The sequence below is a fragment of the Homo sapiens genome, chromosome 5, assembly GCF_000001405.40.
Source record: "Homo sapiens chromosome 5, GRCh38.p14 Primary Assembly".
Lineage (NCBI taxonomy): Eukaryota > Metazoa > Chordata > Mammalia > Primates > Hominidae > Homo > Homo sapiens.
Window position 1 is genome coordinate 59,757,810 of NC_000005.10, and position 15,405 is coordinate 59,773,214.

General features: G+C 36.5%; 1 protein-coding gene across 22 annotated transcripts in view, besides 3 other annotated features; it reads right to left on the reverse strand.

Annotated features, from left to right (window-relative positions):
- PDE4D (phosphodiesterase 4D) overlaps positions 1–15,405 on the reverse strand; it is a 1,553,091-nt gene that overhangs the window by 788,772 nt on the left and 748,914 nt on the right. For 4 of the 22 annotated variants that reach the window (NM_001197218.2, NM_001364603.1, NM_001364602.2 and 1 more), the window contains exon 1: positions 10,438–11,039. The exons of the other annotated variants lie outside the window; for them this stretch is intronic. In NM_001197218.2, coding sequence (NP_001184147.1) covers positions 10,438–10,700 — 263 coding nt within the window. In that variant the 5' untranslated portion in view covers positions 10,701–11,039. Of the gene's footprint in view, positions 1–10,437; positions 11,040–15,405 lie in introns of those variants that run through there. 22 annotated transcript variants of the gene reach the window in all.
- Positions 9,933–11,132: an enhancer, noted in NCBI's record as "BRD4-independent group 4 enhancer chr5:59063568-59064767 (GRCh37/hg19 assembly coordinates)". NCBI's record gives its function as "activates an origin of replication core promoter dependent on BRD2, P300/CBP, MED14 and CDK7 cofactors, and independent of BRD4, by STARR-seq in HCT116 cells {active_cell/tissue: HCT116}" and the evidence as "EXISTENCE:reporter gene assay evidence [ECO:0000049][PMID:35650434]".
- Positions 9,933–11,333: a biological region, named in NCBI's record as "BRD4-independent group 4 enhancer GRCh37_chr5:59063568-59064767".
- Positions 10,818–11,333: an enhancer, noted in NCBI's record as "NANOG-H3K27ac-H3K4me1 hESC enhancer chr5:59064453-59064968 (GRCh37/hg19 assembly coordinates)". NCBI's record gives its function as "activates a minimal SCP1, AML or CMV promoter by ChIP-STARR-seq in primed H9 embryonic stem cells {active_cell/tissue: H9 hESC(primed)}" and the evidence as "EXISTENCE:reporter gene assay evidence [ECO:0000049][PMID:30033119]".

The window sequence follows — 15,405 nt, forward strand, 5'->3', positions numbered from 1 at the left end:
ATGTAAAAACAACCCTGAATCAAATGTTCTCCATTGACCCCTTTTCACCAAGGACATATATTTCTCCTACACACACATATTTTTATAAGAATATTTTATAAGGATGTCAACTTCTATACAAGCCACATGTGTAAACTAATAAACTGAGATTCCACACCAAAAAAGGGCTCTGTCTCTACCTTTCTGTTAACTACTATTTTGTAAAATCTTTGAATATTCATTGTTATAACTTCAATACACATGCAGGGTAGGGTAACAAATGTGAATGTGATTCTTAGCCCAAAGGAAGGTAATGCTGAAAGAAAGAACACACGATGGAGAGTTAGGAAGACTTGGGTTCAAGTTTTAATGCTATTGGTTTCATAGCTGTTTAGCTGAAAGATCTTGGTTATGTAAGAACTTTTTCTGGGCCTCAGCAGCTGCATATGTAAAGTACGGTTAACAATACTTACATCCAACCTTGGTTGTTTTAAGGGGTTAATGTACACAAAGTACCTGACACATGGCAGGAGCTAAATCATTGACGTCTATGTTATAATTAATCTAAGGTTATAAAGCTATATTATTATGAACCTAAGTGTTTTTATTCCAAAATGAAATCATGTAATTTCTTCTCAGATCAACTTTTCAAGATCTCCTTTTGAGAATAAGTGCCTCATCTGAAATACTTGGAGAGTATTTATGTCCTTAAAACTGCACATAAAATGATTTTTCTGTTTTGCTTATTTACAGTAGAAGAGACTGATGTGTTAAGATGGTATAAAATTGAAGTCTAGTAAAAGAGAATTTTAAATTAGAATCTTTACAGTGATCTATACATTTCCCTATCTGTTACCTAAAATTATGCCTTTCAGATGGTGGCCTAACGTGAATACCACCAATACCTTCATTCTGAAGGCCCTGAATCCTATTTATGAGTCACAGAATTATTAAATAATTCTGTTTCCTGTTTTTACCCATGTAGCATCTACCTTACTTTCTTACAGCAGCAAGTTGGAACTTGTTTCTAATTGCTAATCTTAAATAGACTGTAGTTTGTTATCACTTTGTAAATTTAATTAGTCATTACTTTTTACTTGTAAATGCCAAATGCCTTTATAACCATATGACTTATTAATAGAGTCTCCAAGTCAAAAAGGTTGAATAACTAAGGTCAAGTATCAAATGACCAGAAGACCTGGAAATATGTGATTTCAATATACTGAATGAATCGCAGCTTTAAAAACATGATTTTTTAAAAAGCAAAACCATTAAAAAAAAGACATTATTTTGCTACATTAGAGATAGTAAAGCTTCTTCCTGAAAGTGCTACTTGAAGAACAAATTTGGTAGCTTTCTATCTAAGAAAAAAAAAGTGCTGAAACTCCTTTAGTTATCTGAATACATAGGAGCTTTTCAATTATAAAGAAATTTACACAAAGAATATTTTTTAAAAAATCAAAGCCATGATTTTCATTATTTTAATGAACTTTAAGATTCAAGTTTTTATTTTCTTCTTATCAACATTTCTGCCAAGTTTGCAAGAAAGACCATGTCTTCTTAAGAAGAGATTTTACCATCAGTAGCAACGGCTTCAGCTCGTACGAACAGGCTTCACATCTTTTCTCTTTAAGATAAATGTCAATGGTCATGGGAAGCACACGTGAATAATAAGCTGCAAGGTTATCCAAGGTTTTCTTCACTTTTTTCTCAATGCCAATTGTCATAATGTAATCCCTGTAATTCCTTAAACATGACAAGCCAATCGGCATGTTCTTTAAAAGGAAAATCTTCCTCAGGTCTTTTGATTTCGTGGAAAGCCAACTATGCCTTTCAAATGGTACAGACACCCTCAACTTGCAGCGCCTCCACCTCCCATGATTTCCACAGAGGGCAACAGCCAGTTATGCCACAGACATGGCTGAAGGTTAGGGCTGACTGGTCTTCCCCAAACATTCCAGCAGCACTTCCTGGTGTGCTTCTCAGATGATTTCCCCCAGAAACTTGCTCCCCACCTTCTGGTATTACACTTTGCCTACAGCCCTCCTCTGGGTTCCTAGTTCCCAGGAGACTGGCAGCAATGCTCTTCTCCGGGTATTATTACCATAAGAGACAGAGAAAAGATAACCTTAAAGCTAAGCAGGGCAGAAGTAAGAGAGATGGAACGAGGGAGAAAGAGACCTCAAAGAGAAATCACTAAATAATGGCTTTGAAAATCTACTCAGTTGTTTGTGTGTGTATATGTGTATTTTTACTCTACAAACTCTAAGTGGCTGTATTTCTCTTTTATAGGTGACAAATGGTTTCTTTCCCCTTCTATGACTTGCAAATTTATATTTCTCTTAACAACCATAAAAACAACTACAGTTGCTGAAGAAATAATGACTCAGAAAGCAAATGTTTACTTTTAAATATGAGCAACTTTACATCTAATGCCAATGCCTGATAAAGAGAAATTTATAGTAAACAAAAAATATGGCCAAAATCACTTATTTAGCTTCCTAAACACATTTAAGATTTATTAAAAGTCTCCTAAAAGGCCTTTTGAAAGTCCACCTAAAGAAATTATTTTGTTGTTAAGATTGTTACTAAGTACTTCTTCTACTGTTGGATATGTTTTAATTAAAAATACATATGTGTATACAAGAATTATAAAAATTATACAGTTGAGTATTACCTAGTCACCATGATTCCTAAAGATATCCTACTACCTAATTTCGCTTATATACACGCTGGAACATTTTCCTCCATTCAGTGCATCGAGCACAGTATAAATTGACAATGTTTTCATCTAGTCCTTAATCAGGAATATAATCCCCATGAAATTACTTATATTAGAAAACTGTATTTGGTTTTAATTATATTTGGAATTAAAAATGTTTTTGAGAGATATATCATAAATAACAAACCTGATGCATCTTAGTGAATGCTACCCATGAATATTAGTTTTTAATGGTTAATGTTTTCAAAGTAGCTTGAAAATATTTCACTATGTAGCCTAAATTGACTGTTAAATTCAGGAAATTACATCTTCATTTCCGTTATAGTAAAATGACTCAATGTTTTTCATTGTGACATTCACTTAGATTGGAGTGTGATACTGACAGCTATAGTAACAATATTTTAAGAGTATAAACAGCTGGGTTTTTAGAGGCAAATTGACACAGAGTTGTGCATTGCTTATTCTAAGTTCTGAGAAATGTGTCATTAGGCAATTTCATCATTGTGCAGACATGTTAGAGTGTACTTACACAAACCTAGATGGTATAGCCTATTGCTCCTAGCCTACAAACCTGTACAGCATGTTATTCTACTGACTATTGTGGGCAATCATAACACAATGGTTAAGTATTTGTATATCTAAACATAGAAAAGGTACAGTTAAAAATACAGTATAAAAGATAAAAAATGATATACCTGTATGGGGCACTGACCACGAATGCAGCTTACAGGACTGAAAGTTGCTCTGGGTGACTCAGTGAGTGAGTGGTGAGTCAATGTGAAGGCCTGGGACATTTCCACACACTACTATAGACTTTATAAACACTGTACACTTAGGCTACACTTAATTTATAAATATTTTTATTTCTTTGATATAAGTTAATTTTGGTTACTGTAACTTTTTACTTTATACAACTCTTAATTTTCTTTTAATTTTTTGGCTCTTTTGTAATAACACTTAACTTGAAACACTAACATTATACAGCTGCACAAAAATATTTTCTCTATATCTTTATTCTATAAGCTTTTATTTTTAATTTTTTTTTACTTTCTAAATATTTTTGTTAGAAACTAAGACACAAACACACATTAGCCTAGGCTTACACAAGGACAGGATCATCAGTATCATTATCTTCCTCCTCCATATCTTGTCCCACTGGAAGCTCTTCTGGGGCAATAACATGCATGGAGCTGTCATCTCCTATGAGAACAATGCCCTCTTCTAGATACCTCCTGAGGGACCTACCTGAGGCTGTTTTATAGTTAACTTTTGTATATAAGTAGGAGGAGTACTCTTTAAAACAATGGTAAAATACATAAATACATAAACCAGCAACATAGTTATTATTAAGTATAATATATAACTATATATGCTATATGTTTATGGGACTGACAGCATGGTAGGTTTGTTTACACCAGCATGCCCACAAACACAAGAGTAATTAATGCATTGTGCTATGACTTCACTAGGTGATTGGAATTTTTCTGGTCCGTTATAATATTATGGGACCACCATCAAATATGCAGTCCACCATTGACTGAAATGCTGTTACATGTGTGTACTGTTGAGCATTTTAAAAAATGATCCAGGTATATATATATGTGTGTATATATATGTAGGTATATAGATATATATATGTGTGTGTGTGTATATATAGGTACACAGGTATATATATGTATATGGGTACACATATGCGTATATGTGTATATGGGTACACATATGCGTATATGTGTATATGGGTACACATATGCGTATATGTGTATATGGGTACACATATGCGTATATGGGTACACATATGCGTATATGGGTACACATATGCGTATATGGGTACACATATGCATATATGTGTATATGGGTACACATGTGTATATGTGTATATGGGTACACATGTGTATATGTGTATATGGGTACACATGTGTATATGTGTATATGGGTACACATATGTGTATATGTGTATATGGGTACACATATGTGTATATGTGTATATGGGTACACATATGTGTATATGTGTATATGGGTACACATGTGTATATGTGTATATGGGTACACATATGTGTATATGTGTATATGGGTACACATATGTGTATATGTGTATATAGGTACATATGTGTATATGTGTATATGGGTACACATATGTGTATATGTGTATATAGGTACGTATGTGTATATGTGTATATAGGTTCATATATGTGTATATATGTATATAGGTTCATATAGGTATATATAATATATGTATATAGGTACATATATGCATATATATGTATATATACACACACATATTTTATATATATATTCACAACTCTATTCCTATACTACGTACTAAAAAAGAGCAAACTGCTTAAGGATATATATATATATATATATATATATATATATATATATAGCTTGCTCTTTCTCATTTTATAGTATGGCATATTATGGAGATATATATACATGTACCATCTCTATATATAAAATGGTAAACACACAAACAGGACACATACATATGAAGTTAAAAGACAATGACATTCAAGGAAGAACACACTGATTTCAGGATCCTCTGCGAAGGAAGAAGAATAGGATGGGTGACAGCTTTAGACATTATCTGTAACATTTTATTCTTAAAAAAATAAAAGAACTGATGCAAACAATGACAAAATTTTGGCATTTTAAAAATCTGAGTCTGGGGTCAGGGGAGCGGGTAGGGATAGCTTTAGGAGATATACCTAATGCTAAATGACGAGTTAATGGGTGCAGCACACCAGCATGGCACATGTATACATATGTAACTAACCTGCACATTGTGCACATGTACCCTAAAACTTAAAGTATAATAATAATAAAATAAAAAATAAAAAAAAATCTGAGTCGTGGATATATAGATGTGTATTATAAAAATATGAAAAAATTATAACTTAAGTGATTATAATGCTAAATTACTTTTTAAAAGAATATGTGAAGATAACAGGTTTTATGACTTAAATATGACTAAACAGCAACTTTTAAGTTCCCAAAGACTGAAAACCAGCATTTCTACCTTGTTCTTCTAAAACTTATTTAGGCCTTACACCCCAAAACTGTGCTTAAAATTCAATGACGAGAAAAGCCTGAAGAATGTGAAGAACTTCCTGATTTCAATTTTCCTGAAATAAACTAGTACTGGAAGTTAAGTTTTCTTCACCAGAGATTCCATTGACTTTGTAGTTCCTGCTGATGATAGAGGGAATCCCCTACCAGATGAAATCTGAATCATGTCTATAATCACTAGAACTACAAGGCATTGCATGTTTAGTAAAAGCAGTCAAACAGATTAGTGAAAAGCAGAGACACAAGAGAATTCTAATCCTAACAGATGGTGCCAGACCAAAACCAGTGCTCAACACATACTAGCTAGTGATAAAACTATTACTAATAAGCATTGAGAGTATCAGAGACAAGAGGCGCAATAGAAATCTGTTCCTTGAAGGAAGGAACGGATTACTTCCAGTTGGGAGAACTGGAGGAACCTTTTAGGAAAACCAGGAATTTGAAAGATGTATTTTTGCAGTGGGCAGAGAAGAGACACCAAACCCCACAGTTCTGCCTCAGTAGTATCTCTCATTTCTGCCTTCTCCTTTCCTACAGTAATAAAACTGACATACACTCGTTTCTTTCAACTCTTGTCTCTTCACTCTAATTCATCCACAAATGACTGACAGAGTAATCATCTAGAAATTTAAACATGATCCTAAAGGTTCATGCAGACCAAGGCTGGAATAATGGGCACAGAGTACATAATAAAAAAAATACTAGCTTATAATGACACCCACTAAGGGTCCAGCCCTGTGAAACCACTTAATTTATACATAATTGTACTTAATTAAACCACAACCCCCAATAGATACTATTCCCAGAAAACTGACTAACGGGGAAACTGAAGCACACGTTAAGTAACTTGACCAAAGTCACACAATTACTAAATGCAAAGTAAGAATTTAAGTTTAGTCTCTTTTCTAACTGCTTTGGTGCTGAGTGACATAGCACCTAGAGTATGCTGTCAATTCAGTAGCTATTCTTTAAATGGATCATGAAAACCCAAGAGAAGTCTAGATAAAAACTACCTGGTAAATATAGCATATAGAAATGAAATAACAGGATGTTTACTTAAGAAAAGAGAAGTCCCTTTTTTTTTTTTTTTTTTTTTGGTGACAGAGTCTTGCTCTGTCACCCAGGCTGGAGTGCAGTGGCACAATCATGGCTCACTGCAACCTCCGCCTCCTGAGTTCAAGTGATTCTCGTGCCTCAGCCTCCTGTGGAGCTGGGATTACAGGCACACATCACCATGCCTGGCTAATTTTTTGTATTTTTAGTAGAGACGGTGTTTCGCCATGTTGCCCAGGCTGGTCTCAAACTCCTGAGCTCAGGGACTCCGCCCTCCTCAGCCTCCCAAAGTGCTAGGATTATAGGCATGAGCCACCATGCTTAGCCCAAGAGAAGTCTTTTTTAAGAGCATGAGAACACTAAAATATTGATTAATGAATTTGTTTAGCAGACATTTATTAAGCTTCCACCATTGACCAGCCATCATGCCAAGCATGGGTATACCAAAATGAATGAATAGGGCCCTGGTTCTCTGGTGGGTTACTCCAAGCCACTTGCCTTAGGGCTTCATAATGGAAGGGAGCAAAAATTCAAGTTGTAGGATTCCCAAAGCAGATCTTGGATCCATGGATGATAGTTGCAGGGAAGGAGACTTCTACTGTTTAGAAGCAAGGTCTTTCCAATCAACAGCCCTATCAAACAACAGAAGTGCTTCTGTATAATCTTCATCAAGGAGGTTTGACGAGAGGTTCAAGGACTTGTTATTACAGATGTTATTCTAAGAATTCAACAATGGCATATGTTATTACAGATGTTATTCTAAGAATTCAACCATGGCATAGAGGGTAAATCAGATAGCCCTTAACATACTATATAACCAAGATAGATTAGCCACCAGCACTTTACCTTATGCCTTGGAACAGAGCTATGTTTCCCAGCCTCCTTTGCAGTTAGATGTGGCCATAGAACTGAGTTCCAGCCAGAAGAAAACGAGTATAAGTGACATGTGCACTTCCCGGCCTGTCTCATAAAAGTTCACACATACCATCCTCTTTCATGGTCTTTCTCCTGATTCATCTGAGCCTGGCAACCTTGGGAATCACATGTTGCAAATAATGGAACCACAGGATGGTAGAATTCCAGGTCCCTGAGGCACCCAGTGGCTAGGGCAGGCTGCCTCCCCACAAAAAGCAGAAGCAAGAAATAAAAATTCACTGTGTCAATCCAATGAGATTTGGAGACTATTTTGTAGAACAGCAAGATTATCTTAGCTAAAACAGATGTCTTCCAATATTATTGATTTATTCTACCATGGTATAAATTATTGGAAACCAACAAATGGTTCTTGCTCAACTTTGTAATAATTAGGTACAGAATAAACATGTTAGACTCAGTAGGTATTAAGTGTATGCATAGCGAATGGAGGGGAATACCAGGAGCAGGAAACTGTGAGGCAGAACACTGTACTAGCAACAAATTAGATACAAATATATTTATATTTATGTCAGAACAATTTGAAACATATTTTCAAAATTCTCCATAGTGCTTAGCACAAACTGTGAAAGCACAAATGAGATTTTTGTCAAAAGATGCCTGTGGATATTATGAACGTCTTGGGGCTCATTCAACCAATATGGAAAACTTGAGATACTCTTTCCAACTCCCTTGCCTGATAGTTTTAGTCCATAGGGGAAACTGCTTCCTTCTGAGTTACTGAAAATCGATACCATGATTTTTATTTCTGGTTTCCATTGCTCTCTTTATGCTTTTCTTACTGGGCTGTGACCTGATACACTAAAATGAAATATTGATAGAAATTGTGCTCATGAAGTTTTTCCAAACAGCACCAGAAAAGGAAGTGCCAGAAATGTCAGAAGAAAGCCTATTTTCATGGGATTTCCTGCCTTCCTTACATCCCGACATGTCTAAATAGTTCAGATAACCTCCAGCTGAACTCTAGGTTGCTCCACTCAGACTGAAATCAAACAGCTGAGTTGAGGGCCACTCATTCAGCAATGGGTGCAATTTAGGAACTGCAGTGATAAAGCAGCGCAACCAAAAGGGACACTGGACACGGAAATTCTGGTCCTGGCTCCGTAGGAACTCATGCCAGCTCTCCTGCTCTGGCACCCGATGCCTGGCCTTGAGCCAACCTTCTCCTTCAGTGCATCTCCCAGTGTTTATTCATGCCTTTCTTTTATTCACTGTTTGTTGCTCACAATTTTTTCCAAAAAGAAAATCTTCCTCAAAGAGAAGCCATCATTTCCCAATAACTGCTTTAAGACAGAAAAAGTCAATGTTTGTCTCACTCCTCTTATGGCCATTACATCTACCAAACTCAGAAATGCCATCTAGGTGTTAAAATCCTGGGGACAATAACACTTTCCCAGTCAGAGATCTAGCTACTTAAAACCAAATTTTTGAGGTTGGTCATGTCTTTGGGTGTGACATGGCTTTTATTTCCTTTGTCATTGACTTTCATCTATAACATCAATGCATTCCTGAGCACGGTCTTGTCACTGGTTTAGGTTTTAATTCCTTTTACTTTTTGCTGCTTTCCTCCTAAAAGCCTTGTTTCTGCTTTTTTTTTCCCTCCCATTGCTAACGTACATACTGTTTAGTTAGTTATGGCAAAACTGTAAAAAATTATTTAGTCATACAGTTTCTCAACTAACACACTCATTCTTTTTTGTTATGTTTTCTTTATCATAATTTATACTCATCTTATCAAAATGTAGATGTAATGTATAGAACCTACTACTACCTGAAATTATCTAAGTGTGTAACATAGACCCTAGTACTTGGACTCACTGATCAGAGTTTGGAATGGCCTCTACTCAGGCAGAAACTCCAAATACTCCAAATAAGCTCACATGATGGTCTGTTTTAATATTTGGGTTTTTCTTCTTTTTTTTTTTTCCAAGAGCAGGAAAAGATGAGGAATCCTCCAGAAAAATACATGGAAGCATATGCATGAAACAAATTCACCCATTATAAAGAAGATAAAAATATTCACAAAGAAAATAAAAAGATTGGCAAAATGTTCTAACAATCCAAATTCAAAGAACACAACAATACTACCAAGTACCAGCCTGCAACTTTCTGCGTAGAATTCCTAATCCCTTTCTTCTTTCCTTTGGAAAGGCATGTTTAAGATTATGAATACTGTATATCAAAGTCAGGAGTGAGGAAGGGCTTTATGAAGACACACCACCATTACACACACACTGTATGTGTCTCTGTCCAAGTGGGGATCATGCAGAAAACAGAGCAAACTATGATTTTCCTCCCCTCATTTCTGGTCCTTTCTTTCCTCAGCTGTTGGGGAAGCTGGCAGGGAAATTGGTTTAAGGAATCAAAGAAACGCCACTACGTACGTATGGGAATAAAACTGCATTCTTATTTGACATCTGGCATCCAATTTTCTTGTAGGAACTTGCAATAGGAATTGAACTTTGAGAACCACCCACCTCAACCACTCCTAGTACCAGTCTCCAGGATTCTTGCCCTGACTTGGACATTTGTGGGATTTATGGTTAAGGGAGATCACTTGGCCATAAATCCCCGGTGAGGAATGATGATGGTCCTCCCTCCCTACCCCCAAAATTAAAGGCGCGAGAGCAGGACTCCCTGAAGGGAAACGGCCACCATTTCTGCGAGGTCTGCGCAAACCTTACCATGTATGTGCCACCGTGAAACGCCGCTGTTTGGGGATGTTGCTGCTGAGAAGCATTCTGCGCAGAAGCCTGGGGGAATTTCTCGGAGAGATCACTGGAGAGAGCTTGGGAGAAACCGATTTCCTCGCTGTCTTGGACTTCTCATGCTGCAACAGGTTTTCTCGCAAGGATTTCACAAGGTCTTCGTTCAGCCACGGGTTTGGACAATGCGGATTATCCACTTCAGGTACTGTTAAAGTGTCCGGGCTTGTCTGCTGAGCCATTTTCCTGGTCAACTTTGTACAGCTGGCAAGAATCCAGGGCAACGTGGTTCCCTCGCTCACGGTCCCGGAAATGTCCAGGGAAGCAGGTCTGAGCCTGCTGCTGTTAGTGCATTCAGTCGCCTGCCTCAGTCTCTCTGTAGAGCCTGGGGCTGGGTGCAGAGGAGGCGAGCGCACTCCTCCGCGGAAGCGTATTAAACGTCACCCCTCCTCTCCCAAGCCCCTGCCAAAGATCACTGACAAGCTCGCATAGCAAATGAACAAGGAGGGAAAGCACCGCGCTCGCACGGCTTTGTCCGTGCTACAAAGCAGCCTGTTAAACTATTGGAACTAATGCGCCGCAGCTGCGCGAGTGACTTCTGCTGCTTATGTACATAAAAAGTCCTGGGGGGAGGGCTTAACCATCAGATGCCTGCTGCTGGGTTGTTTGGCTAGTCTTTCCATTTGCTTATTCCTGAATCCAAAGGAAAGAAAAACTTTGAACTTGACCTTCCTCTCCCGCAGGGCTATTTATCTCCCTACAGTCCACGTTCATAAAAGAAAAATGCCAATCCTTTGTTTTTTTCTCTCTTTTTTTTTTAATAAGGGAAGAATAAACAAGCACTAGCTACACAAGGAGAAATACTTCCCTGCTTACTAAACTCAATCTGATGAACCACATAAGACAAATCCCATGAGAATGAAATTGACTTTTTCTCCCTCTGTCTCTAGTTAGAACCCAAACAAACAAAAGGTTTCAAAATACTACACATGGAACGCTTTACAGGTTGCAGTTGTGTTCTACAACCTTATTAATTAGGGCCCTTTCAAAGAACTAACAACACTATTTAGACTCACAAATGATATGTTTTCTCTTTGCATTTAAACTAATGCCCCTCCAGAAGGACAGATAGTTTTCATAAGAGTAGTTTCAATTACTATTTGTGATATATACAATTTTATGTATTCAACTATAAGAGGGTGGAATACATCTAGCTTTTCGTGATTTCCTTTATTGCCTTTTAATGTAAGATTTTTATGTGTGATGAATAGAGCTTCAACAAACTTATTCAGAGAGCTTAAAAGAAATAATTTTGCAATTGGAAAAAAAGTAAAAATGTTGTAACAAGAAAGTATGAAGTAAAGCCTGTTAAATCTCATTTATGTGGACACTAGAAGTGCAGACATTAAACAGCATTGGAAAGAAACTCAAACCTTTGCATAGGGAAGTTCCCAGTAGCTTAGTGATGCTACAGACCATGTGGGATTGAAATCAAATCACATCTCTAACGATCTAGGAATATTTTATGTTTCTTAAAAACCCAATAACTTAGGGAGCTACAAAATGCATCCAGAAAAAAAAAAATGGAGACTGGAATGATTCTTTTTGTTTCCTATGATTACTATTAGGTCAATTTTAAAAGTTTATTCTGTTTCCCTGCCCCCCTGGTTGCTCCATTTTAAGTTCCAATTCCTTGTCTTTTAAATGTTTACAGAAAAGTGTACTCTGAGGTTCTATTCACAGAAGGACAGGGTCAACCACTTGGTCCATCTTTCCTGTTAGCATGCCCACAACAATTCAATGACACATAAGTGCTATGACTTCATCAAAAAATGTTAGACAAATATTTGAATTTGAAGAATCAGGATATGATTATTCTTATTCTCATAATTTTTACCAATATAAAAGTTTTTGTCACTTTACATCATTAAGTGGCAAGGTATGTGTGTGCATGTGTGTGTGTATTGTCTATATATATACTATATTTCTATACAGTGGGCTGAGGGACTGAACGGCCTTAGAAGTTGTGCAAAACAGGTGTGCAATGCTTGCCCTCAAGGAGCTTGTAACTTAATGGAAAGGATTGGACAATACTTAGAAAAACATACCAGAACAACTGGAAAATGAAATAGTCAGATGCAGAAAAGTACAATGAAAATGAAATGCGTATATGATGAGAAAACTCTGGGTAAAGTTTAAGAAGGGAAGGTTCAGAAATTAATGGAAAGAAAGAAAAGAAAGAAGTGCACTTTACGAGTAAAAACTAGAATGAACAAATGCAATTAAAAATGTATTTGTACATGTTTTTAGTTTTGTGCAAAACAAAACAAAACAAACGACAACAAAATTAAAGGCTCAGCAGTCTGTAGACACAAAGCCTGTTCAGGTTCAAAGAAATAAAAAATTCAGATGATAGGATAAGTGAGAAAAACTAATATGTATTAAACTGAAATGGCAAAAAAAAATATTTTAGAAAAAATCTCTAGTTTCTGAAGACTCAGTTCCATTCAACAAACATTTATGGGCATTTATTTTTTGCCAGACACTATAATGGGTGCTCTAGGATATTTAAAGATTAGCTTGGCCAGGTGTGGTGGCTCACACCTGTAATCTCATCACTTTGGGAGGCCAATGCAGGAAGATCACTTGAGCTCAGGAATTCAAGACTAGCCTGGGTAACATAGCAAGACCCCGTCTCTATAAAACATTAAAAAATAGCTGAGTGTGGTGGCATGCGTCTGCAGTCCCAGGCTACTCAGGAGGCTGAGATGGGAGGATTGCTTGAGCCTGGGAGGTTGAGGCAGCATTGAGCCATGATCATGCCACTGCACTCCAGACTGCATGACAGAGCGAGACCCAGCCTCAAAATAAATAAATAAATAAATAAATAAATAAATAAAAAGGTTAGCTTGATACTATGTCTCTATATCTGCCCTTGGGGAGCTTATAGCCTAATAGGATAGATGACAAGTGCAAAATGATTGACATGAAAAAGTGCAGCCCAAGTACCCAGACGAGATCTTGGAGGCTGGAGATATTTAAATGTCTGGCTCTAAGTAGAGAAAAGTGATTCTTAGTGACCAAGTAAAGGAAGAGATTATACTAAAAATGATATGGGCGACAGAGCGAGACTCCATCTCAAAAAGAAGGAAAGAAAGAAAAAGAAAAAGAAAGAAAGAAAGAAAGAAAGAAAGAAAGAAAGAAAGAAAGAAAGAAAGAGAGAGAGAGAGAGAAGAAAGAAAGAAAGAAAGAAAGAAAGAAAGAAAGAAAGAAAGAAAGAAAGAAAAGAAAGAATGATATGGGCAATAATAGGGAAATTCATTGAATGCAAGGGACTCTGGGTTCTAGTTCTTGCTTTTAGCCACCTTGTAGAAGAGCTTACAAAGAGTAAACTATTTACATGCTGATCTTCTCACAAATAGTATGCCATGTAGAATGTTCAGAGAGTCTGGGCACTTTGTTAATGATCACAATTAAGCTAAATAGTAGATATAACAATATTCTATTCAAAATGCATTGATCATTATGGTTAAACATGGACAAAAGCATTCTGCAGATCTCCCATTGCTTTGGTGTATGTTAAAGGATTTCAGTGTATTTGGTTGGTGCAAAAGTAATTACAGTTTTTGCCATTAAAAGTAATGAAGCAGGATTGAGAGTTTCTTTACAGGTCCCCATATCCCATTATTATTATTGATTCAATTTCCTAATGCTTACTGTTAACCTCCTAAATCTGCCAAATGATACATGATATGCATACTGCTTTTTAAAAATACAAAATTAATTTTGTTTTGAGAATTCTTGGCCAGTCCTTGAAATAACTTGAAAAAGCCTGCAGTGTTTCAAAGTCATGCTTGAAAATTGCTGCCTTAGGAAACACAAATTGTAAGATTCTGAAGATAACCAAAGGTGGGTGAGGTTTGGACAGACTGGCAATTTTTTCTTATGTTAAGGCAGAGGGTCAGAGGGTGCTCTTCCAACAGGAGCACTCCACAGCTTGTGTTTTTCACAAAATCTCTTTAAAATTAGCTGCCAGGAACTTGTCTGAAAAACACTGTACAGTAAGTGACAGCCAAATAAGGCCTCAGGTTTTAACAAGTGGAAATTTGAAAGTGGGCGAAATGTTTTGATAAAGTCACCCACGCCTAGAACAGCAGATAACATCTCTTAACTTCATGAAAGTTTTCCTAGATACCTCTTTGTGGATTTTCAAAATTTGTGGGATTTTTTAGATTATTTGGAATCCTTGAAAATGTTTTGTCTCATTAATCATTTATAGGTGGTAACAAGGAAGATGAGATTTTCACAGGTTCTGACACAAAAAGTGTGCTTTTGTCTAGGTACAAACAAGCAAGGCTAGATTTCCCACAATGGAAAGAGAGCAATGATGTGGCTAATTCAAAAGGATGGAAGAAATGATTTATACTCAGCTATGGAAAACATTGTATGTTTCTCCAAACTATGTTCTAATTAGATAAACAAGGGTTAAAAGGAAATCGCTTTCAAATTGTCCACAGGATATAGGCCATGGAAATGACCTGATAGTGGGAGAGGTTATGTTGTCTACTGGATAAGAAGGTATGGGTTAATTTTAGAAATGAAAAGTTTATTTTGAACCCCAGAAGTACTAGTTACTAGTTGTGTTACTTTACTTTTCAGTGGCTCAGTTCCAGATCTGTGAAATAGGACGATAATAATGAGGATGATGATGATAGTAGCTATTGCAAAAGAATGCTACAAGGATTAAATGTGTTAATCCCCATGATATAAGTGTTTAGGAGAGTGCCTGGTACAGAATAACCACCCAGTAAATAAAAATCTACCATTATGTGATATGAGGAACTTAGAGAAATTCACACTTAGTAGATATCAATTATGTACCAGGAACTTTGCATTTTATTTCCCTTAATCCTTGCAATCATACTTAGGGTGTTGCTTTCGTACTAC